Consider the following 23,950-nt stretch of genomic DNA (forward strand, 5'->3'; position numbering starts at 1 on the left):
TCTGGACTCTCTATTCAGTTTCATTGGTCTATATGTCTGCTTTTTATATGCAATAAAATATGATCCAGCTTTAATAAAGCAGAAAATTCTGCCATTTTCTTTTTTTTGTTTTGTTTTTGTTGTTGTTGTTGTTTTAGTATTTATTGATCATTCTTGGGTGTTTCTCGGAGAGGGGGATTTGGCAGGGTCATAGGACAATAGTGGAGGGAAGGTCAGCAGATAAACATGTGAACAAGGGTCTCTGGTTTTCCTAGACAGAGGACCCTGCGGCCTTCCGCAGTGTTTGTGTCCCTGGGTACTTGAGATTAGGGAGTGGTGATGACTCTTAAGGAGCATGCTGCCTTCAAGCATCTGTTTAACAAAGCACATCTTGCACCGCCCTTAATCCATTTAACCCTGAGTGGACACAGCACATGTTTCAGAGAGCACGGGGTTGGGGGTAAGGTTATAGATTAACAGCATCCCAAGGCAGAAGAATTTTTCTTAGTATAGAACAAAATGGATTCTCCTATGTCTACTTCTTTCTACACAGACACAGTAACAATCTGATTTCTCTTTCTTTTCCCCACATTTCCCCCTTTTCTATTCGACAAAACCGCCATCGTCATCATGGCCCGTTCTCAATGAGCTGTTGGGTACACCCCCCAGACGGGGTGGCGGCCGGGCAGAGGGGCTCCTCACTTCCCAGGCCGGGCGGCCGGGCAGAGGCGCCCCTCACCTCCCGGACGGGGCAGCTGCTGCCCCCCACCTCCCTCCCGGAAGGGGCGGCTGGCGGGGCGGGGGCTGCCCCCCACCTCCCTCTGCGACGGGGCGGCTGCCCCGGCGGGGGTTGCCCCCCACCTCCCAGACGGGGCGGCTGCCGGGCAGAGGGGCTCCTCACTTCCCAGGCCGGGCGGCCGGGCAGAGGGGCCCCCCACCTCCCGGACGGGGCGGCTGCTGCCCCCCACCTCCCTCCCGGAAGGGGCGGCTGGCGGGGCGGGGGCTGCCCCCCACCTCCCTCCGGGACGGGGCGGCTGCCGGGCGGAGGGGCTCCTCACTTCCCAGACGGGGCGGCCGGGCAGAGACGCTCCTCACCTCCCAGACGGGGTGACGGTCGGGCAGAGACACTCCTCAGTTCCCAGACGGGGTCGCGACCGGGCAGAGGCGCTCCTCACATCCCAGACGGGGCGGCGGGGCAGAGGCGCTCCCCACATCTCAGACGATGGGCGGCCGGGCAGAGACGCTGGTCACTTCCCAGACGGGATGGCGGCCGGGAAGAGGCGCTCCTCACTTCCCAGACGATAGGCGGCCAGGCAGAGACGCTCCTCACTTCCCAGATGGGGTGGCAGCCGGGCAGAAGCTGCAATCTCAGCACTTTGGGAGGCCAAGGCAGGCGGCTGGGAGGTGGAGGTTGTAGCGAGCCGAGATCACGCCACTGCACTCCAGCAAAAACCAGTCAGGCATGGCGGCGCGCGCCTGCAATCCCAGGCAGGCTGAGGCAGGAGAATCAGGCAGGGAGGTTGCAGTGAGCGGAGATGGCGGCAGTACAGTCCAGCCTTGGCTCGGCAACAGAAGGAGACCGTGGAGAGAGAGGGAGAGGGAGAGGGAGACCGTGGAGAGAGAGGGAGAGGGAGAGGGAGACCGTGGAGAGAGAGCGAGAGGGAGAGGGAGACCGTGGAGAGAGAGGGAGAGGGAGAGGGAGACCGTGGAGAGAGAGGGAGAGAGAGAGGGAGAGGGAGAGGGAGAGGGAGAGGGAGAGGGAGAGCTGAACTTTGAAAACAGAAAGTAACTGCCAAAAGGGATTATTTAGGGCACAGATTCCCCCCTTTCATTATCCTTTAGGTCCTCAATGGTGAGGGCAGGGGACAGGAGAGGAATTCTGCCGTTTTCAGTAACATGAATGAACCTGGAGTACATTCATCAAGTGAAATAATTGAGAGCCAGAAAACAAATAATAACTGATGCCACTTATGTGAGGAATCGAAAATAGTCAAACTTACAGAAGCAGAGCAGGAAATGGTGGTTGTCAGGGGTTGGGGAGAATGTCAAGGGGCACAAAGTTTCAGCTATGCAAGATGCCTGAGACCTAGACATCGACTCTATAGCACAGTGTTTATAGTTAACAATACTGTATTGTATACTAAAATTTTTTTTATGAGGGTAGATCTTATGTTAAGTGTCATCACAAAAAAAATAGTAATATTAAATAAAGACAGTGTTGGGTGCGATGACTCATGCCTATAATCCCAGCACTTTGGGAGGCTGAGGCGGAGGGATCACATGAGGTCAGGAGTTTGAGATTAGCCTGGCCAACCTGGTGAAACCCCGTCTCTACTAATAATACAAAAATTATCCAGGTGTGGTGGTGCATGCCAGTAATTCCAGCTACTCAGGAGGCTGAGGCAGGAGAATTGCTTGAACCTGGGAGGAAGAGGTTGCAGTGAGCCGAGATCGTGCACTCCAGCCTGGGCGACAAGAGTGAAACTCCATTTCAATAAATAAATAAATAAATAAACTTTGGGAGGTAATGGATACGCTTATTGCATAGATTGTGGTGATAGTTTAATGAGTGTCTACTTTTCCCCGAGCTCATCAAGTTGTGTTCATTAAATATGTACAGCATTTTGTGTGTCAATCATACATCAATACAGTTGTTTGAAAAAGGAAACAAAACAATCTTTAAGCTGACTATCAAGTTTCCAAATCCATTTATCTATTGGAAATTATCCCAATTAATTAACTAAAGAGTTGGCAGATTAAGAAGAAAAGCTACTCAATGTTAGCTGGAGCTGTTTTCTTGGAAAGCAGTTAAACTGTTTCTATCTAATGAAGGGAATCGTCTTGATCTTAACCATATCATTTTTTCCCTCGGTCTCTCTTAGAGTTTCACACTTGTTCTCCAGCTATCTTTTATGGTCCAAGGTCAAGGGCCAATTTTCAGGACAATGTTCCATGTCATGACCCATCAACCACCACCACCACCACCACCTTCTCCTGAAATCAGAGTAGTTCAGGTAGTCCTAGTTAATTGATTTGATGAATATCTTTGCATTGCCAAAATGTAATCAGTGCTTGGCATTTAGCAGGTGAAACCTAGAGGTTAGCTGAGTTCTTCCCAGTGGAAATCTATTTGAATCAGATTCAACCTCCCATTACGTAGCCTGGGAGGATATATACTTTAAACCAAAGCTCTCCAGGAATTTTTCTTGTTATAAGGGGAACAGTTCACCTGCCTGGCTTCTGTAGCCATGGATACTCTCTCAGTTTTTATCCTGTGCTCTTTTAGGGGCAAAACCCTGCCTTCTCACCAGTCTCTACCAGAAGTTATTCAAATTAAACGTCTTATTGTTTTCATACTTTAATTGAAGATATGGACAGTCACAAAATGGGTTTCTTTGCACACCCACCATAGCCACTTGTAACTACAAAGATGTTCTTCTCTTCGTTCTTTTTCCTACTCCGGATCAAGTAAGTTTCTATCCTCATTTAGTACTTTCCTTGTCTGAAAAATTGGTACTAGCTAATAACTACATTTTAAAGTGCTATCTGTCACAGCACAGAAGAACGATTATGTAGTATTCTGGATAATAGCATAGACTTGGATCCAGATTGTTTTAATTTAAGTCCAGAGCCTGTCATTTACTTGCTGTGTGACATTGGGTAGTCTGCTTAACCTCTCTGTGTCTCACCTGTAAAACAACTTCAGGGGTTGTCAGGAAGATTAAATGGATTAACGTACATATAATGCATATGATAGCATCTGGCTTACAATAAGTGCCACAAAAGTATTTACTATTATTACTGCTATTAACATAAACAGACTTATTAAAGTGTCTTCCAAACTCAAATAGTTGAATTAAAAGGGAATCTAATGCAAGCTGCTAAGAAAATATTTTTTCTGAATGTCAACTATAGAAATTCAAAACATACTTAATGAATAACTAGCTATTACTAACTGGCTTATAATATGCCTTGACTGAAAATGATGAGGCGTCTGTCATTAGACAGTTTTAAGATATTTATGAACTGACACTGATGAGATTTGGTCTCATTTCATCATTTATGGCATATTATCTCATTTATTTGTGGTGTGTGTGTGTGTGTGTGTTATATGTAACCAAATGCATTTTTCTCTAGAGTGCATTTACCTGAATATATCTTCCCTGCATATTTTTCTTTTTATGTTTATTACAACCCTGCAAATACTTAGGACATGTGCTAACTTTCACTAGAACCACATGGACACTGATATTAATAATGTGTCCATAGTCACAAATCCACATTGGTAATAGGGCTGTGGGCAAAACCTATTTCCAAGGGACTCCACGACTAATTAATATATATGTGTGTGTGTGTGTGTGTGTGTGTGTGTGTGTGTGTATTTGAGATGGAGTCTCACTCTTGTCGCAAAGGCTGGAGTGTAGCGGCGTGATCTCGGCACTCTGCAACCTCCACCTCCTGTGTTCAAGTGATTCTTCTTCCTCAGCCTCTTGAGTAGCTGGGATTACAGGCATGCACCACCACACCTGGCAAATTTTTGTATTTTTAGTAGAGACAGGGTTTTGCCATGTTGGACAGGCTGATCTTGAACTCCTGACCTCAGGTGATCCACTCACGTCGGCCTCCCAAAGTGCTAGGATTACAGGCGTTAGTCACTGCACCTGGCCTTCACGTCTAATTTTTAAAATAAGATCATGCTTCTAGCCAGTTCCTGTCTTTTGTCTATGACTCTAAGAAAGGAATATTAAGCATGTCACAAAGAATAGAATGTGTTTTACTCATAGAGTAATGCTATTGGAGTACGTAACAGAGAATATAAATTTGGTGTAATTTTTAATAGGGCTATTAAAATCATTTAAAGTAATATTTTATCTTATTAAAATCTCAAAATACATACTTTATCAAAATAAAAAATAAACTTTCTTTGACCCGGCAATCAAGTATAGTGAAATCTTTATGCAAAGTGATCTTCATTGCAGCTTTGATTTTAAGAGCAAAAGGCAATGTTATGTAGCTATTCAAAAGAATGTAACAGATCTGTAGGAAGTAACACAGAGATTTACTGATAATATGCTGAGCAAAAATGATTTCTGCAGAACAGCATGTACAGTATTATTTTATAGTTTTAAAAAGAATAAAAAGTATGTAAAATACACATGAATATTTATGTAGGGGAGTGAGGGAGGGTAAGCATCTGTGTGAAGGTTCATGCCTAACCTTTAAACACAGAGACTATCCAGAAACGGGTTAACTATAGAAGAGAGGGGAAGTAGAACACTTTACTTTTTTTGTTAACGTGCTTTACGGTATTTGAATTTTCAAAAATAAGCATGTATTAATTTTATAATCAAACATAAAGCTTCAAGCACACACTATGTTAAATGTGTTTGATAAATCCAGTGTTCAGGGTTATAATGCTTGCTTAGACTAACTGGTTTCACATGGGTACCTGTGACCAGCGTAAGGTCATTGCTAGGCAAAAACACTGTAATTTCTAGAAACAAATAGAACGTTCTACATACAACAAAAAATGTAAGTCATAGCATTTTGGAGATAATGCTGAATCTCATCAGGCACAGTCAACCAAAACCAGGTTCATTTCATTCTCAGAATTTCATCTACATTTGCCAGAGATTTTAAATTGAATAATGGACTGACTGTGCGTGAATGAAATGCATGCATTTCTTTTATATTTCTGAAATAGCAATACAGGCTGAGACCCCAGCGGGGGAGCAGGGGAGCTGGGGGTCTGGGCGACAGTAGAGGAATGGTGTTGTGTGAGATAGGGACTTAATGAGATAAGGGAATATGTATTTTTGTGAGGGGAAAAAACTTCATAACATTTTTCATATGAAACATACACAAGAATAATGGAATAGATTATATCTTATGAAATGTGGCCTACAGTAAGTTACTGTTGCATGTCTTCCTTCCATAGAAAAGGAATGAATTGGAGACATTCACTTATAATGAAAATTGTCTGTATTTTTCTCAATTGAGAGAGTTCATTGAGACTTCATAGAATAGTTTTATTACATATTACATAGGAAGGAAAAAACACAATTTTTTTGTTCCAATAACAACCTTTTATCTAGCTCGACAATGCACTTCCACGGCAGCTGGATCAAAAAAAAAGAGACTGCTGCAATTCAGAGTCAAAGTGGAGTTTCTTTTCGAAGTGGTCATCAACAGCTTTTAGCAAATGAAGGAAGGGCATATCTTTCCGGGGAAAATGAAGCACCCCTTTCTTTGGCCCAAATGATGGTGAAGCTTCTTTTGTTTATTGGTGATGTTTTTTTTTTTCTTTTGGTTTTTGTTTGCTGGTTTTTGTTTTTTGTTTTTTGTTTTTTTCCCAACCGTTCGTTAAAAAGAAGAAAATGAGAGAGAGGACAAAAATGTGAACGTTATGCTATTTAGTGGTCATGCTCTAGAGGTTTTGAAAAAATAGCCATCAGCAGATGCATCAAGATATGACAGGGTTGCACATTAACTATTTTCCTGTCATACCAAGAATTCTGGAATCTTGTATTTTATTGCAAGCTGTCATCTCACCCACATTTTCAAGGTGACCTCAAGTCTTCTAGGTTCTCCTTCTCAAACAATTCTCATGTTTCTAGATTTGAGCTCTTCTAAACACCTCTGAGTATGACCTGAAAAAGTTATTTCTCCTTAAAATATGTCCGACAACTTCTCCTATGACTACCCTTTTTAAACATTCAAAATGACAGTATTTCCACTAAAACCACCTCTTTAACTGATGTTCGAACTTGGATGTGGATACTCCTTTTGTAACATGGACGTATAGTAGATATCAGTGTGTCTGCTGCTTCTGTTTGTTGCTAAGGTTCATAGGGCATGTTCTCTTTTCCAATACTTTTTCCTGAAATACATTTTGTGATTTTTGTCATTGTTCCTTTGTCCAGGGATTCTTTAGGACAATTGTTTAAAATCTAAGCAGTTAAAGCCCGACATTTTGGCTCACGCCTATAATCCCAGCACTTTGGGAAGCCAAGGTGGGTGGATCACTTGAGGTCAGGAGTTCGAGACCAGCCTGGCCAACATGGTGAAATCCAATCTCTACTAAAAATACAAAAATTAGCTGGGCATGGTGCCACATGCCTGAATCCCAGCTACTTGGGAGGCTGAGGCAGGAGAATCACTTGAACCTAGGAGGCAGAGTTTGCAGTGAGCCAAGATCATGCCACTGCACTCCAGCCTGGGCAACAGAGCAAGACTCCATCTCAAATGATAATAATAACAATAATAATAATAATAATATCTAAGCAGCTAAGAAGTTTTAATTTATTTTTGTTGTTTATTTCTGATATCTGGAATTTTATTCAGATTATGTGGGTGGTACGTCTGTACATTTTTAGAATGTATTGAAGTTATCTTTGAACCTAAGCCTATGAACAACTCTTGCAAATCTTCCATTGCTCTAAAAAAATACAAACTCCTTCTTTGGTTTTAAGTTTTATATGTAAATATTTATTATATCAAGCTTGTTGGTGATATTATTTAAATCTTATTTGACCTTACTTATGTTTTTAAATCTGTTTATTAATAAAGAAACACATTGAAGCTTCTTCTTCTAGTATTATTATTATTATTATTATTATTATTATTATTATTATTATTTTCTTTAATTTTTACTTTAAGGATACACATGCAGGATGTGCGGGTTTGTTACACAGGTAAATGTGAGCCATGGTGGTTTACTGCACAGATCATCCCATCACCTAGGTATTAAGCCTAGCATCCATTAGCTATTCTTTCTGATGCTCTCTCTCCCCCAACACACCCCAGACAGAGCCCAGTGTGTGTTGTTCCCCACCATGTGTCCATGTGTTCTCATCATTCAGTCCCCACTTATAAGTGTGAATATGTGGTGTTTGGTTTTCTGTTCCTGTGTTAGTTTGCTGAGGATAAGGGCTCCTACATCCATCCATGTCCCTGCGAAGGACATGATTCCATTCCTTTTTATGGCTGCATAGTATTCCATGGTATAGATGTCCCACATTTTATTTATCCAGTATATCATTTTAGAGTTAAATTCTCCATCAATCTCAAGATGATTTTCCACATCTATTTTGCTTTATGTTGTTTGATACATAAAATGTGTGCCATTTAGTGACTTTGTGGTCATGGTGAGTGGTAGTGATTATTATATGTGATGAGTTTCTTGGTCCTGCTTGATGTTTCGGGCATACATTCTGCCACTGGACTTTTAATTTTCTGCCACTGAATGAGTCTCTTTATTTACATTTATTAATATAACCTATTCCAATCCTTACTTAAAACTTTGGGGGTCTGGGACTTGAACTGCAGATAAGTGGCTTAATTATAACCTTGGTTCATGACACACCGATATTACCCATTCTAAAGCAAAACAAAACAAACAACAACAACCAAAAAAGCCTTACTAAAGCAAAAAGAACCTGAAAAATTACCCAGCAAATGATTCCCCAGATTCTGAGTTCACTTTCTTTTTCTCACACTCCTCTTTCTCCTCTTACTCTTCATGGTTCTCCTTCACACTGCTTCTCTTTCCCCCAAAGATTTCCATCTCTTTTGTCTCTATGTTTTGGCTTTGTGTTGTGAGGATTTATTTTACTTTCTCTTGTAGGCCACCAACTTGACAATGATATTGTATCAGTTCCTCTATTACACTTTCAAATTTTTAAATTTCTTTTTACCTTTCCAGGAGGTTTTGTTTTTGTTTTTGCATGTGATCTAAGTCTATCCACTCGAGCTGTCTCATTTCCGGTTTTCTTGGTCAAAAGTATCTGACTCTTCAATTCATTCTCCTTCTGTTGGATCTACCAGCTGCCCCAGGTGACAGAGACCCTTAAGTATGTTGCTGTTTTCCTTTGTCTATTCACTGTTTTCTGCTCCTCCACCACCCACAGACATCAGGTTGCTTGTGTTTCCAGGAAGTGGACCCTTGTGGAGTGGTAGAAAGCTAACAGTTCTGTTCTCTGTAGACCGATGAAGCACTTCCTGGTGAAACATTTCTGCTGTTGGAATGAAGTTCCCAGTTTATCCTAGATCAAGCCTGTGCCTTCTGCTTTTTTTTTTTTTTTTTAATTTTAAAGGTAGAGGTCAGTTTACCACTCTAGTTTTTCTGTAGTTCCATGGAGATTAAAGTGATCCTAGAATCACCCCCAGGACAGGACACAACTACTGGACACATGAGGCCTTTACCTAAGGACACCAGAGATTCTGTAGGTAGCCATCAAATCCCAGAGAGGGAAGCCATCTTGCTGCCCAGGATGATTCGCCAAGAGGCCAGTTGAAAAGGTCACAGTGTTCCTAGGAAGATCACGCAAAACCTGAGATCTTAGTTGGGAAGGCTAAATGACAGTCTGTTTTCATGACACAAAAGGAAAATATCACTAAATAATACTATGGCCTTCCTCTCATGCCAACTCAGAAGGCATTTTCATTCCCATCTCTAGGCCTTTCCAGATCTGGTCTCCTATGAATACAAACTCTCTTTATATTTTATCTCTGACTTATAATGCAAGCTCCTTAAGGCCAAGAGTGTTTTATCTTTGACTATGTTATGTACAAGACTGATCACAGATCTAGAGCTAATTGGTGGTTTTATATCATCATGATCATTACTATATTAAGTGTAGGTGTATATTAACCTGACAATTCAAATTTATAGGCTAGATAAATGGAGAATATTTGCTCATTTCATAAAAGTAGTTTGCCCAGGGCTTATTAAATCTCTCATTCTTAAAAACATTTTATCAATGTAGAATAGGACTTTTCAACAATACACATTTTGTAAAGTGGAAAATGCAATCTAAACTGGATTTTTAAAAAGAAAAGTTTTCATTGTGAGATTCCCGTTTATGATTGAAATCTCCCAGCGTATGTTCAAACAGATTCCATCTCATGGGGTCTCTTGAGTATTCTTCCATCTTTATAATTTAATGGAGTGAGAAACTTCTCCCACAAACATCCTGCACGCTAGGCCTGTAGTCTAATCTCATGCTCCAATTTGCATCCTTTCTTTGCTCTATTAATTGAAATTAAAATAAAACATGCTCTTTACTGCTGCTGATCTTATAGGTATAAATTATAAATTGATAAACAATTTGTAAGAATTCATTTTAATCAAATAATGTATTAGTCTCTCAGCAAAATCCTTTTTTTAAAAAAAATGTTTTATCTTCATCTCAGGGTTTCCTAGAGTCCTTCTTTCGGTCCCTCTGTCATAAGAAATTTTGGATTCTTTTTCACTGGATGCAGATATCTCATTCAACTTGTTTTTGTTTGGTTTTAGTTGGTTTGGTTTGATTATTTACATCATAGCAGATGTCTGACACTTGATCAACTGTTAGACATATTTTATTGCAAGAAGTACCATTATATGGTGTTACTAAGCAAGAAAAATTACTGTCAATTAAACTGTGAGACAACACTAAGATGGGCCCTGATTTCAAAGATGTTAAAATGTTAAAGTATAGGTGGTATACAAGTGAAGAAATATGGAAATAAGTATTTTCTGGCTTCTGATGCAGAAACAAAGAACTCCTTTTTTTTTTTTTTTTTTTTTTTTTTGAGACGGAGTCTCGCTCTGTCACCCAGGCTGGAGTGCAGTGGCATGATCTCAGCTCACTGCAACCTCCGCCTCCCAGGTTCAAGCAATTCTCTGCCTCAGCCTCCCAAGTAGCTGGAATTTCAGTCCCCCACCACCATGCCTGGCTAATTTTTTTTTTTGTATTTTTAGTGGAGATGGGGTTTAACCATCTTGGCCAGGCTGGTCTTGAACTCCTGACCTTGTGATCTACCCACCTTGGCCTCCCAAAGTGCTGAGATTACAGGCGTGAGCCACCGTGCCCGGCCCAAAGAACTCCTTTTATGTTTGCAGAGCAACAATCAGTTTGATCCCTGCCACTTTCCTTTTCAACCTTTCTGAATTTCTAGAATAGCCTTATCACAACAGGGAGCACATAGCAATGCCTATTCCCACCACCTGTGGGTCCTAGTAAATCTGGTTCCCTGAAACAGGGCTAATCCTGGCAATGTCCTTACAAGTCACCATTTTCCTATATTGACCACAACACTGAATCTTTCTTGAATGAATCTATTTTCCCACCTGGCCTGATAGCCCCTCACTAAACCTGAAAACTGTGCAAAGCCTAACCTGGCTTGATGGAAGACCTGAAATTTTGTGGGGTTCTTTCTAGTTCTTTCAGTATGGCAGCTGGGAAGAATCCTGTCCCTTGTACTTCACCTATGCTGTTCTTAAGAGAACCATTTGTTGCCCCAGTCTTCCTATTTCCTACTTTCCTCCTCCTCGGACATCAGTGCCTACTGTCATCAAGGCTGTGACCACTATCTCCTCTGGAGATACACTTACCTGCTGGATTTCCTATACTTAACCTGCTGGATTTCCACATCAGCGGTCAACTCTTCTTGATAGTGGTACTTGAATCTTGCAATAGTCCCCAGAATGCTTGGCTGTGTATTTCTGGAATTCTTTTAAGAGATGGGGTCTTAGTATGTTGCCCAGGCTGGACTTGGACTCCTGGCCTCAAGCCATCCTTCTACCTCAACATCCCAAGTAACTGGGATTACAGTTGTAATCCTGTGCCCAGCTTGCAGTTCTAGATTTAAAACGAGTTGGCTGTTTTGATGATCTAGAGCTATAATGATCAGCATAACCACAATAATGCCTCTCCCAGACCCATCCACACAAGGTACTAAACTAGCATCCAAAACTCGATATAAATAAGATAAATAAATAACTCACCTTTCCCACACATTTTCAGACTCCAGGGCCATAGTCTCCTCTAGTTAATGTTGCAATGTTTTATATTCAAAACTCAGCTGCCACCACCGAATTATCTGTAATTGGCTTAGATTGAGGTGGTCCATGGATGTCATTGTAATCCCTGACTGGACTTGTGGGTGTCCCTTCTCTCTGTCTTCTGCCCTGGCCTATGAAGTACTGCTGGAACAATGGTTTTCTCTGGGCCTCTGTGAGAAAAGGGAGGAAAAGGAAAAGAAAGACAGAGCTATGAGAGCAACCATTCCTTTGCTTCTTAAACCAGACTTCACAGAATGGAAAATGGGGTGAACACAGTTTTGTCGAAATGAAGTCTGTCACTCTCATTTGGAGTCCATAACACAGAGTAGAAGAAAGGCTTCATAAGGCAGTACAAGATCTAGTTTAAAACTGGTAGTTGGTCTGCTTATTTCTCTGATACTCAATTAACCCATTGTAAACTAGGGGAAGACTATCTTTCCTGTGTGGACCATTCTAGCACAAGAAAGGATGCAAATAAAAATGGCAACATCAATGCAGAAGAATGCTGTGAACTTTAAGACATTACACACCTGTAAAGGAAAGTAATTCATCATTTGAATAAAAATGATCTTGTCACATATTGTTTATTCTCCACCTCCTTTCTTTCTACCCTGGACCTGACACTCTGAACATTGCTGCCAGCTTTGGTGACCTTGCCTCTAGGTGAAGGTGCCTGCATACATACTGTATTCACAGACTGAACACTTGTCCCTGAAGGGCTGGGTTTAAGATAGAAAGAGATGTAAAAAATGGTGGAAATGCCCGAATGTAGAAGGCAAGTTTGAAGCTTCTGCATCTAGTTTGATTTGAGATTAAATGGGGTGCTGTTGATCTACATACCTTCCCTCGCCACACTTAATTTTGAAATGCACTTCAGATCTCATGCTATTCTACAACCTGAACAATAAAACCATGCTGTTTGTAAACAAAGCATTTCACGTATAAGAAACAGGCCCATTGTGCATTTTTTTCCATTTTATCCACATTTTCCCATAAAATCTATTTGTATGCCCACTTTTGAGACTGTTTCATTGCATGATATTTAAGCAATGGTCAATCCTATTTGTGCTACATTTATGGGGATCCTTGAATTTCCAAAAGTAAAGAGGAGAATCTGCTGTTTAGCTAAGAAATCTGTTCAACTTAATACAGATTTTATACCTTCTCTTAAATCCCAGACTGAGCTCTTCTTTTCCAATTCTTCAGAAATGAAGAAGACCTTATTTCTGACAAATTTATGGATACAGTGCATCTCTCTATCATTAAAGGCAGACAGCATCTTTCAGATATAATGAGAATGTGAGTCATCACCCTAAAATCTGATCTGGTCCTAATTCAATTAAATCATTACCTTCTTGTCTTTCACTGATTTTCTTGCCTACAGAAAGCCATGCAATGAATGTCTTAAATGGCTATTTTTAAATAGTACGTGCATTCAAAGAAGGAGAAAAAACACACACACACCATTTAATGCTAAAAAGGGAAATAAATTGCTGTTTTTTTTTTTTTAACAAATGGCTGGGAGGGTTATAATGTATTAGTTTTTTTTTTCCAGAGGTAATCTTAGATGTGGAGTGAATGAAGTGAAGTCTGTTATCAATCCATAACATCTGCCGCAGTGTCAAGCGATGAAATGGGTGACTCCGGAGCCCAAGACAGCTGGGACGGCTTTCTTAATGCAGGAGGGTATTGTGCAAACAAACAGGCCCTGATACGGTCTATGGTTGTCACAATTATTCAGGCTGGTGATACATCTTCCCGTATTAGCTGCTTGAGCAGCCCTATTTCTTTTAAAAGTAAACTACTGTATAACAATCACCATCCTGGCCTGTAAGTCAGTGAGCACAAATAGAATAAATACCCGAAATAAAAATAAATATAAATTAAAATTTATCGCCAGAGCAACAAACTGTAAAACAGATGCAGGACAAAACAAAACAAGACAAAACACCTGGAGGAGAGGCTGTGGAGAGAATGAGCAAACACAAATCCCAAACCTTACTCACAACAAAACAAAACTCTGAATGAGTAGCAATTTTCCTTACGCTTTACAGTGTTAGGGGTTCAAGTGTCTTTCAAGCTAAAAATAAAAACACTGTTTGGGGCATCTAATTTTAATTCATTCTTCTTTTGAGGTTTGTGACCAACATTGTGGGAATGGTAATTACAAATGAGGAGGCCTAAGTATTAAGCATGAGCAAAAGTTCTCTAAAATTAGGAAATGACCTAATTCAGTAATGTATGTACATAAATCTGTAGCTAAAGGAGATGCTGAATTTAATTACAAATAGAATCTTGGTTTCATCTATCTTTCTAGAAGGCACAGAAATGTTCTGATTCTTGTTCGTAAATTTGTCTTTCTAACACATCAGGAGCCTGGATTTCCGGCTGAAATACAACACCGTGCATTCTCCAATGTATAGCCTAGCTTTGGGTCAAAAATCTAGGACCTGCTGCAAGAATTACTACGCACTCAAGTTCTCTGCACACTGAGCACGAAGGTTCATTGGAAAGGAGACTCTTGTGAGGCCTTGAAGCACATCCATTCACACCTAATAATTGTACAGATATGAAAAGTAACATCAGAGAAGTAAAGATTTTTCTAGGAGGCCATTTAGGTTTTGCTCTGTGCTTTATTCTATCACATTAGGCTGCCTTATTCTCTGTTACCTGCATATCTATGGTAGTATTAAAAGTAAGCCATTTTCAGTTTGCGTTAACAAGATGGATGTCTGAAAACCAAATACAACTGGAAAATTCAATCCAAGTTACTGAGGTTTGACTGAGATATATTGATTCTTAAAAAACAAGATAATAAACTCTAAATATCCATTGAAATATTTTTATTTTTAATTTTACGAGGTGTGTACTGGTATAAATTTTGTAATACACATTTTTTAGTGTGTATACATTCTTGATTAAGTCAAGCCCAAGTGCCATGAAAGCTCAAAAATACACAAATCAGTGTTTCTGTAAAGAAGGGTTTATATCTTAATCATTATTGTATTTTTCTCAACACCTCACACAATGCTCACAAATAACAGTTGTTAAATGCTGTTTCAACTTAAGTATATTTGTTGCCTTTATGTAAGCAAAAATAAGCTCAGTTTCTTAGAAATCACGTGTCAACATCGTGGAATATTTCCTCTCTGATAATGGGACATCATTGCTTAGTCATTCATTCATTCATTTGAGAAGTGTTTCTTGACCATTCTTGTCTGGTCTATTCAGTTCTCCACATTAGAGATAAAACAGACAACCAGTGAACAAGGAAGAAATAGCACCTGCCTTCAAGAAGCTTACAGTCTATCAGAAAAGAATGACATTGAGCTAGTAATTCTAAGTATTACAAAGCAGAAATTTAGGCAGCCACAACTGTATGTAGAAGGAAACTCAACCTGGTTTGGGAGGCAGTGCTATGAAGCCATAGGCCAATTCTCCAAGGAACTACTTGCATTTAAGCTAAGGTGCGCAGGCCGATTCTCCAAAGAACTTGCATTTAAGCTAAGGTGCCATAAAACATTTCGATGTAACAAATGGGAAAAAAATAGACCACACCTAGATACTAATGCTGCCTGTCCTCTTCTTTCATTGAGGAAAGAAAAGCCAAATTAATGCCCAGTTTCAAGTAGAAATATATTTTTGGTTTTGCAAAGAGAGTGTTGGGTTTGGTCACATACAAAAAAAAAGAAAGTCAAGGAAGAAATCACCTGTCGGGTTTAGATATGTAGAGTCAGAAGGATGTAATCCTAGACAAAGAGAAAGGCATGGACATTGGCAAGAAAAAGCACGGGGAGTTCACAAAACGTGTAGGGCTGATCTCCAGCCAGGAGCGCACATTTGTTGTTTAGTGTCTGGTGTCTATTCTGATTGGTTCAAAAAGACTTTGCTGAAATGGCGTCTTCCCTATGGAGGCACCCCAGTCCCACTAATGCTTCTCCTTCCCAAAACACTTACTTAATTCTTCTCATAGCACTTTTATTTTTATAACAGATGTTGTAATTTACTCATTGATTATCCTATTTACTCTCTGTATTTTCCCATTGGAATAAAAGTAAGGGAAGGATCTGCATCTGTTTTGTGTGTTGATGTATTCTGAGCTTCTAGACAGTCCCTGACTTACAGTAGCTACTATAAAAAATTATCGAATTGAACCTAGGGGACCTGACATGTTTTGCTCCATAATTCAGTGGTTCATTGCTGTTGTCCGCCAGGTCAGTCTGACTTGCTGTAGCATATAGATTCCAGCTAGTGGAAGGTATAGCTTTTCCTAAAGCCCTGGGCTGGAAATGGTACAAGTCCTTTGCCTTCAAATTTTATTGTCAAGAACTGAATCACATAACCACACTTAACTGCAAGTGAGGATAGAAAATGCAAAAACCACCAGGTGTGGTGGCTCACGTCTGTAATCCCAGCTCTTAGGGAGGCAGAGGCGGGAGAATAGCTTGAGTCCAGGAGTTTGAGACTTGCCTGGGCAATATAGCATGACCCTATTCTCCACACAAAGGAAAAAAAAAAAAAAAAAGTGTAGCTCCCCTCAAAAGCAACAACCTCCCCAACTTTAAAAAAAAAGAAAGAAAATGCAAAAAGCATATATCCCCAAAGAAAGGAGAGTGTATTTTGATGGACAATTGAGAGTTTCTCTTACTTTGACCATACAACCAAATCACTGAAGGGAAGGTCTCTTCTTCAAAGTGTTACTGCTTCTTTCAACCAAGGCAGAGGTGTTTGTGAGAAAAAAAATCAAGTACATTCCTTTGCCAATATTAGAATGTAACTGAAGGCATTATCCATCAATATTTTGTAAGTATTACAGAGGCAAAATTATGGAAGAGTAGCACATTGGCCTCATCAAAATATTTCAATAGTTAATTATATGCTATATATTTAAGCATTACATACCTCAGATATATTTGTATTGTCAAGAGATCAATCATCAAGTTAATAAATTATGCAACTTAATTTTAAGTATGATTAGCCTAAATTATTAATAATTAAAAATTACAAATGTGGAAACAACATATTTAGAAAGTTACACGAAAAAATTTAAAACCTAATTTCTTTTTCATTGATTCAGTAAAGTTCCCATCATCTTGTTTATAGAAATTAGTATTCTAACTACACTTATCTTTTTAGTTTACAAAGCTAACAATCAAATTGTTACATTTTATACGTCCAGAAGAGCTAAGAGAGCATTTCTTGCCCTCTTAGAATGAGAGGGGAATTCACACTTAATGAGTGACAAATGTGTGTCAGTAAATCATATGCATGTTGATTTTCCAAATAGCTTGTGAGAGGGGCTTTGGATCTAGGTTAGTCTAAATCCAAAACCAAAGGAAGTTGTTCTAAAGAGGCCCACAATTTATTAATTCATTTATTCATATTACTTATTAGACACCCATGTATAAATGTCTAAGTGCTGAGGGGCAGAAACCTTGTCTGTCTTGTTAGCAATGATAGTCTCAGTGCCTTAAACATTGCTAACAGGATTATGCATTCAAAAAAATCTTTGTTGAATGAATGAATGAATGAGTGAATGCATGCTCAATGGTTGAAAATTTACTGTGGGCAAATCATTGTGCTCGCTGCTCATAATACTGTGCTTGGGGTAAAACCTTGAGGATATTATATGAGGTCCCTTAAGTCTCTCTCTCTCTGTCTCTCTTTCTTTCTTTTGATTTGAATCCTATACTTCTCCTATGACAAGTCTGATTAAAAAAAAAACAGTTTTTCAGGATCTAAACATTCAGGAAGTTCCTCTGGTATTTGTAATTCTTTAATGGCGCAATATTTTCTAGACCACTAGAAATGGTGCAATATTTTCTAGACCACTATTTATTTACATAACTAACTCATTGCATATAGCTCATTTAAAAATACCTTTTCAGAGGGAGGTGATGAAAATGGAATTGGGTACTTCAAGGAATCTCAACTAAATGATTATTTTTTAAAGGCAAACTTGGCCTTTTGCATTAGTATTTGAATCATTCAATTTCTATATCTGAAAATGCATTTGCAAGCTTGAGAAGATATGCCTTGGTCTGCTGTTTTTCAAACTATGATTGAGAATCAACAGAGCGGTTAAATCAATTGTGTAGGTAAAAACTAGGTTTTGCAATGAAAGACAATATATTAGAATAAAATGAAATGAAATGACCAATATCAAACTACACTACTCAACAAAGGTATAAGTCTTGCTTTATAAAACATTTTTATGTATGAATGTGTATGTTGAGTCAAGATATAATCTTCATGTTTAGAAACAAAATAATTTGAAAAATATCTCTCATGTAGGCATTGATAATTGATGGCAGTTTGAGAGAATAATTATTTTTCTTCTAAAAGGTCAGGATCCTAGCGTTATGGTCTATGGAGGTCAATGACTTGGCAAAGACCTCTTTCTGGTGTGCAGTGATAATGGAAGCCACAATGTAATTGACATTATTCAAAATAGCTCCTGCAGGTGATTTCTTCCTTGACTTTTTTTCGTATGTGGCCAAACCCAACACTCTCTTTCCAAAACCGGAAACATATTTTTTACTTGAAACTGGGCATAAATTTGGCTTTTCTTTCCTCAATGAAAAAGGAGGCCATACAGCATCAGTATCTCGGTATGGTCTATTTTTTTCCCCCATTTGTTACCATAAAAGGTCTTATGGCACTGTCTACATTGGTTGCCCTCCTAGCTTCTCATCATAGACACCTTTGTCAACAGAAATGACTGATTATTCAGGGTATTTAGAATTGGCTGGAATTTGCCAAACTGGGTTTCAAACACAGGTCAAAAATCTATACATGGCCAAACAAGGCGCTCCCATTTATATTCCATTCTTCACTTTTTAGTTGGTTTTGGTCAAAAAGAAAAATTGCTTTAACCATATTCCTATTTGTTCTGAATCTATCTGGGGCTAGATATAAATGACACCTATTTTAAAAGTTAGTTCAAGGTGTAAAAGAAACGAAATTTCTCCTTCTCTTTCACAATATGGCTCCTTGCCTTATATTTCATTGCTGGACATAATTATTACATCATTTAGGTCTTAATGCAATGCCTATGTTGCTAAATTGTGATAGCAAGCCACTGATAAAGTCCTTTGGTTAGTCACAGACAGCTTCTGTAGATGTCAGCTTGTATTCACCACTGGTGCCTTTAAGCAATTGAGTTCTTCAGTAACTTTGTATACTCCCTCAGTTAATTAGGGGCTCATACAATCTGGGGACTCACTTGAGCTGTTGGATGTCAGTACCCTCTCAGGATGCTAAACAGATGACTCCACAAATTCTGAAGGTGCTTGAGGTGATGCTAGCAGATGTATCTATAGCTATTTTCTAATTTTCACTAGGAAATCCACAGAACCACATATGTTGACTTGAGGGGTCTCAAATTCTCTTCTACCAAAAACTTTGCCCCCCCAACAATGCAACATGGTTACCACTGTAACTCTATTAGAGATTTACTTCTATGAGTTAGGTATTTATTCCCTAGGTACCACACAATAAAATGGAATTATTTGAAAAAGTGTTAACAATTTATAAAGCATTATCATCTCAAGAAGAAGGTACTTGTTTTATTATCTCCTAGGAGGAAGTCCAGTGGTGACTTTATGGAATAAGAACATGTTTTTAGAAAAAAGAAAAAAAAAAGATGGCTTTGGCTCCAGTCCTAGAGATGCAACTTTCTGGCTATGGTACAGGTAAAGTCATCTGGACCTTCTGTTGGTCAGGGGATAGTAAATCTGTTTGTTCTAGTCACCTTACAAACAGGGCAGTTGTATGAAATAAGGAAATCAGGACAGTTGCAGAAATGGACATTCCATGATGACCAAGAAAACAGTCTCTGAACCAGAAATGCTTGGGTTCAGGTCCTACCAAGCCACTGCTGATGGAGTGACCTGCTTGTTAACTTCTCTGTGCTCAGTCTCCTGATCGTTAAAATGGGAATGACAATAGTAACTAACGATACAAAGGTGATTGTAAGGGATGAATGAATTCTATGCGAGTCCCTTGGAACAGTGCCTACGACACGGTGTGTGCCACAAAATTGCTAGCTGTTATTAAGTCGGCTTTGAGAAGTGAACATTTAGAAATAATGTAGAAGATCTCATAACAGCTGGGCCTCAGAGTCCCACATGAAGATGAAACAAACTTCATAAACTTGGATGGAGCAAGTATAAACTACCAAACATAATACAAATAAATGTAAATTTTCCTTTGAAGTTAACATATTTATTTTATTATAACTAAATAATAAAAATATATACTTACAATAAATATTAAAAAATTAGTAACTGACTCAGTTATTTCATTAATGCTGCCATTGCTCAAAAAATATATATATATACATATGTATATATATATATATTTTTTGAGACAGTTTTGCTCTTATCGCCCAGGCTAGAGTACAGTGGCACAATCTCGGCTCAGTATAACCTCCACCTTCTGGTTTCAAGCGATTCTCCTGCCTCAGCCTCCCAAGTAGCTGGGATTACAGGCACCCACCACCACGCCCAGCTAATTTTTTTTGTATTTTTAGTAGAGATGGGGTTTTACCATGCTGGTAAGGCTAGTCTCGAACTACTGACCTCGTGATCCACCTGCCTCAGCCTCCCAAAGTGCTGGGATTACAGATGTGAGCCACCTCGCCTGGCCTGCTCAAAATATTTTTAGAACTCTTTTCTTGAATTGTCTTCAGTCAGTTTTTGAGCTATCCAAGGAGATCAGTGGTTTTTTGTATGTCAAAGAGATATCTGCATTTCCACATTCATCGCAGCATTATTCAGATCAGACAAGATATTGAATCGACCTAAATGTCCATCAATGAATAAATGGAGAAAGAAAATGTAGTACGTACATATATAATGGAATACTATTTATCCTTAAAAAGAAGGAAATTCTATCATTTGTAACATGAATGAACCTGGAAGATAATATGTTCAATGAAAAAGCAAGACACACAAGGACAAATATTGTATAATCTCACTTATATGTGGAATTTTAGAAAGTTGAACTTGACCGGTATGGTGGCTCATGCCTGTAATCCCAGCACTTTGTGAGGCCGAGGCAGGCACATCACGAGGTCAGAAGTTCGAGACCAGCCTGGCCAATATGGTGAAACCCCGTCTCTACTAAAAATACAAAAAATTAGCCACGCGTGGTGGCACACACCTGTAGTCCCAGCTACTCAGGAGGCTGAGGCAGGAGAATCGATTGAACCCAGCAGGCGGAGGTTGCAGTGAGCCAAGATTGTGCCACTGCACTCCAGCCTGGGTGACAGAGCAGGACTCTGTCTCAAAAAAAATAAGAAAGTTGAACTCATCGAAGCAGAGAGTAAAATGATAGTTACCAGGGTCTGTGGGGAGAGGGGCAGGGAGACTGGAGAGATGTGAGTCAAAGGGTACAATGTTTTAGTTAGACAGGAGGAAGAAGTTCAAGAGATCTATTGTACAACATGGTGATTACAGCTAATAAAAATATATTGTATACTTGAAAATTGCTAAGAGATTAGATTTTAAACATTCTCATCACAAACAAATAATACTTATGCCAGGTAAAGCATATGTTACATGGCTTGATTTAGCCATTCCACAATGTATGTATCTGTTAGAACATGTTGTACACCATATATACAATTTTTACTTTCAATTAAAAATAAAAAAGAAAAGAAAATCAGTGATATAATTTAATGATCATACATTATTTCATTGTACTTTTAAAAAATTAATCAGTTGGTATTCCTGTTCTGAGCATTTTTAGGTTGGAATTAAGTCTACCAAATTCGTGCTTTTTATTCCAATGGAAAAGATGTCTTCTGTCTCCAAAGGATTCATTTCACCCATGATTAAACAGCTTTTCAGTACAAGTCCAGATTAAATAAATACTTTAGGTTTTGGGGGCTGCACTGTCTTGTCTCAAATACTCAACTCCACTGCCACATAGTGAAAGCAGTCAGAGACAATATGTAAATGAATGAGGATGGCTGAGGGCCAATAAAACTTAATTTGCAAAAACAGGTGGTTGGCTGAATTTTGCTGCTCAGCTGTAGTTAGCCAACGTCTGATTTAACCTCTGTGATATTGAGGAGATAATCTGTCTAACATTCAGAATGAGCATTAAATGATGCAGCTTTATACCTGACACATTGTCGGCACTCAACAAATGTCTTTCTTCCCTTCCCAGCAGCTGTGGTTGTAGTAGAAATCACATGTGCTTGCATCCAGAAAACTGTTCAAGTTACGGCACGAATTAGCTTTGTAATTCTCTGAGTTTCAGACCTGTCATCTGAAAAAATCAGGCCAACTTTTATCTCCTTTTGAGCTCATATAAAATTTAAATATGACAAAAATATGCAAAATTTATGCCACAGAGAATGTACCAAAGATCAGCTGTTACAAACTGTCTCTGGGGATTTCCATTTCAAAGTGTTGTTAGAAACCTTGAAACCCAAAGGGCAGATAAATCACTCATTATTTCTCATCAAAAGTAGCAGATTTTGGAATTCTCAATGGTGTTTTTGGTAGAAATCAGGCTCCATGAGAATATATATTTAGGTGTCCCTTTTTTTAATTCTCATAGAACTTTAGAACCAAAACCAACTGTCAAGATGAGCCCATCATTCTCATTTTACAGGTAAGGAAACTGAGACTCCTAGAGATTAAATGACATGCCCAAAGTCACTCAGCAACTCGGGAAGGGTTCAGACCAGGACTCCATGCTCAGGACTCTCAGTGTAGGAATTTCATACTATAACAGGAAGTCACCCTACTATAACTTGAAGTCACCCTACTATAACTGGAAGTCACCCACTTCAGTGGTTTTCATGCTGAGTAAGCTTGAAACAAGTTCTGCACTCTTTAGGCCATCTGGTTATCCATGATCAGATTAGCAAATGCAGAATTACTTAACCTGCTTATATTGCAAAGGAAATGGCTCTGGCCAATCACAGAGTAGGACATTCAGTAAACAGGAAGGGTTTCCCATTGCACCTCCACTGTATCAAGTGAGGTATTCAGAGGACAGACTGGCTGACATTCATTGCTTGGGATAGGGTTTCAGTGACATTACTGAACTTGTGCACCTGCATTCCATAGGATCACACCTTGGAGGGCCCATGACACTATTCTTCCCTGCTGATATAACCTAGAAAATGTCACTGCACAAACTATATGGCATATATGGCATTTTGAACACACTGAACAATGACATGACATTTTGAGCTGCTAAAAGCAGAGCTACATGGTGTCTACACTGCGCATATCCTAAATAACACCCCTCCCTTGTTCTTCCCTTTCCCTTTCTTTTGGTTATCAATCGTCTTTACCTCCATTACTTACCAAATTTTCCATTTTGTCCCTTAATAAGCTCAACTTTGCTGGAGTTTTTTTAACTGCAAGGTGAGAGCCTCATGATTGCTATAGCATTTTGAATGCACTTTTTCTTCTGCTTCTCTTTCTTCATTGTTACTTTTCATATAAACAGAAACATAAGTCAGGATTCTCTTCAATCAATCTTCAAACAAGGAAAGATCTTTTGGTTGCTACAATTAGAGTCTTTATCATTTCATTTGAGAGTTAGTATGTATAGGTACATATGTATTAGTTACTTAGGACTAATATATATTTTGCCATTGCCAGCCTATCCTAAGTGCTTATTATATATCTTGCATGTTAAGGGACATCTCTATAAATAAGAGTTTTTAGAAGTATAGTTTTTAAAATGCTGAATGTGTACATTTCTTTATTTTTAAAACTCATCTTTATTTAATTAAACTCATAACATTTAGAGTCCATGGTAATTGAAATGGCTGATAATAAAGTACATTTTCTACATATATATATTATATATATATGTTGTATATGAAAATTTTCTGCCTGCTTTCACATTTTTTATTAAAATATTCTGTTGATTACATTCCCAATAAAAATCAAATGCGTAGCTATGTATATTTTGCAAGGAGAGCAAGGAAATGCACCTTCCTTTCTCACGCTTTCAGAAGATCCAGTATGTTCTAAATATTGGCCCTAATTGACATGTGGTTGAAGAGTCAATAGAAATGTAGAACCTTTGTTACCATTTTATGTCACCTCATATTTTTCCATATGCAAAACTATTTCTGAAAATTTGGAGCTGGAAGGCACTGTGACGCAT

General features: G+C 39.0%; 2 long non-coding RNA genes across 2 annotated transcripts in view, besides 1 other annotated feature; one reads left to right on the forward strand and one right to left on the reverse strand.

The window, feature by feature from the left end:
* LOC101928272 (uncharacterized) overlaps positions 1-23,180 on the reverse strand; it is a 98,228-nt gene extending 75,048 nt beyond the window's left edge. Inside the window, exons 1-3 of the long non-coding RNA NR_120635.1 lie at positions 23,137-23,180; positions 21,937-22,084; positions 11,750-11,976 (exon numbers count right to left, since the gene is read on the reverse strand). This is a non-coding gene — a long non-coding RNA (uncharacterized LOC101928272). The remainder of the gene's footprint in view (positions 1-11,749; positions 11,977-21,936; positions 22,085-23,136) is intronic.
* Positions 952-1,452: an enhancer, noted in NCBI's record as "H3K4me1 hESC enhancer chr10:9315328-9315828 (GRCh37/hg19 assembly coordinates)". NCBI's record gives its function as "activates a minimal SCP1, AML or CMV promoter by ChIP-STARR-seq in naive H9 embryonic stem cells {active_cell/tissue: H9 hESC(naive)}" and the evidence as "EXISTENCE:reporter gene assay evidence [ECO:0000049][PMID:30033119]".
* Positions 3,200-14,644, forward strand: LINC00709 (long intergenic non-protein coding RNA 709). The gene is made up of 2 exons (NR_108039.1): positions 3,200-3,447; positions 14,179-14,644. It is a non-coding gene; the product is annotated as a long intergenic non-protein coding RNA 709 (long non-coding RNA).
* Positions 23,181-23,950: the final 770 nt, after the last annotated feature.

Source organism: Homo sapiens, chromosome 10 (assembly GCF_000001405.40).
Source record: "Homo sapiens chromosome 10, GRCh38.p14 Primary Assembly".
In the NCBI taxonomy this organism is placed as follows: domain Eukaryota; kingdom Metazoa; phylum Chordata; class Mammalia; order Primates; family Hominidae; genus Homo; species Homo sapiens.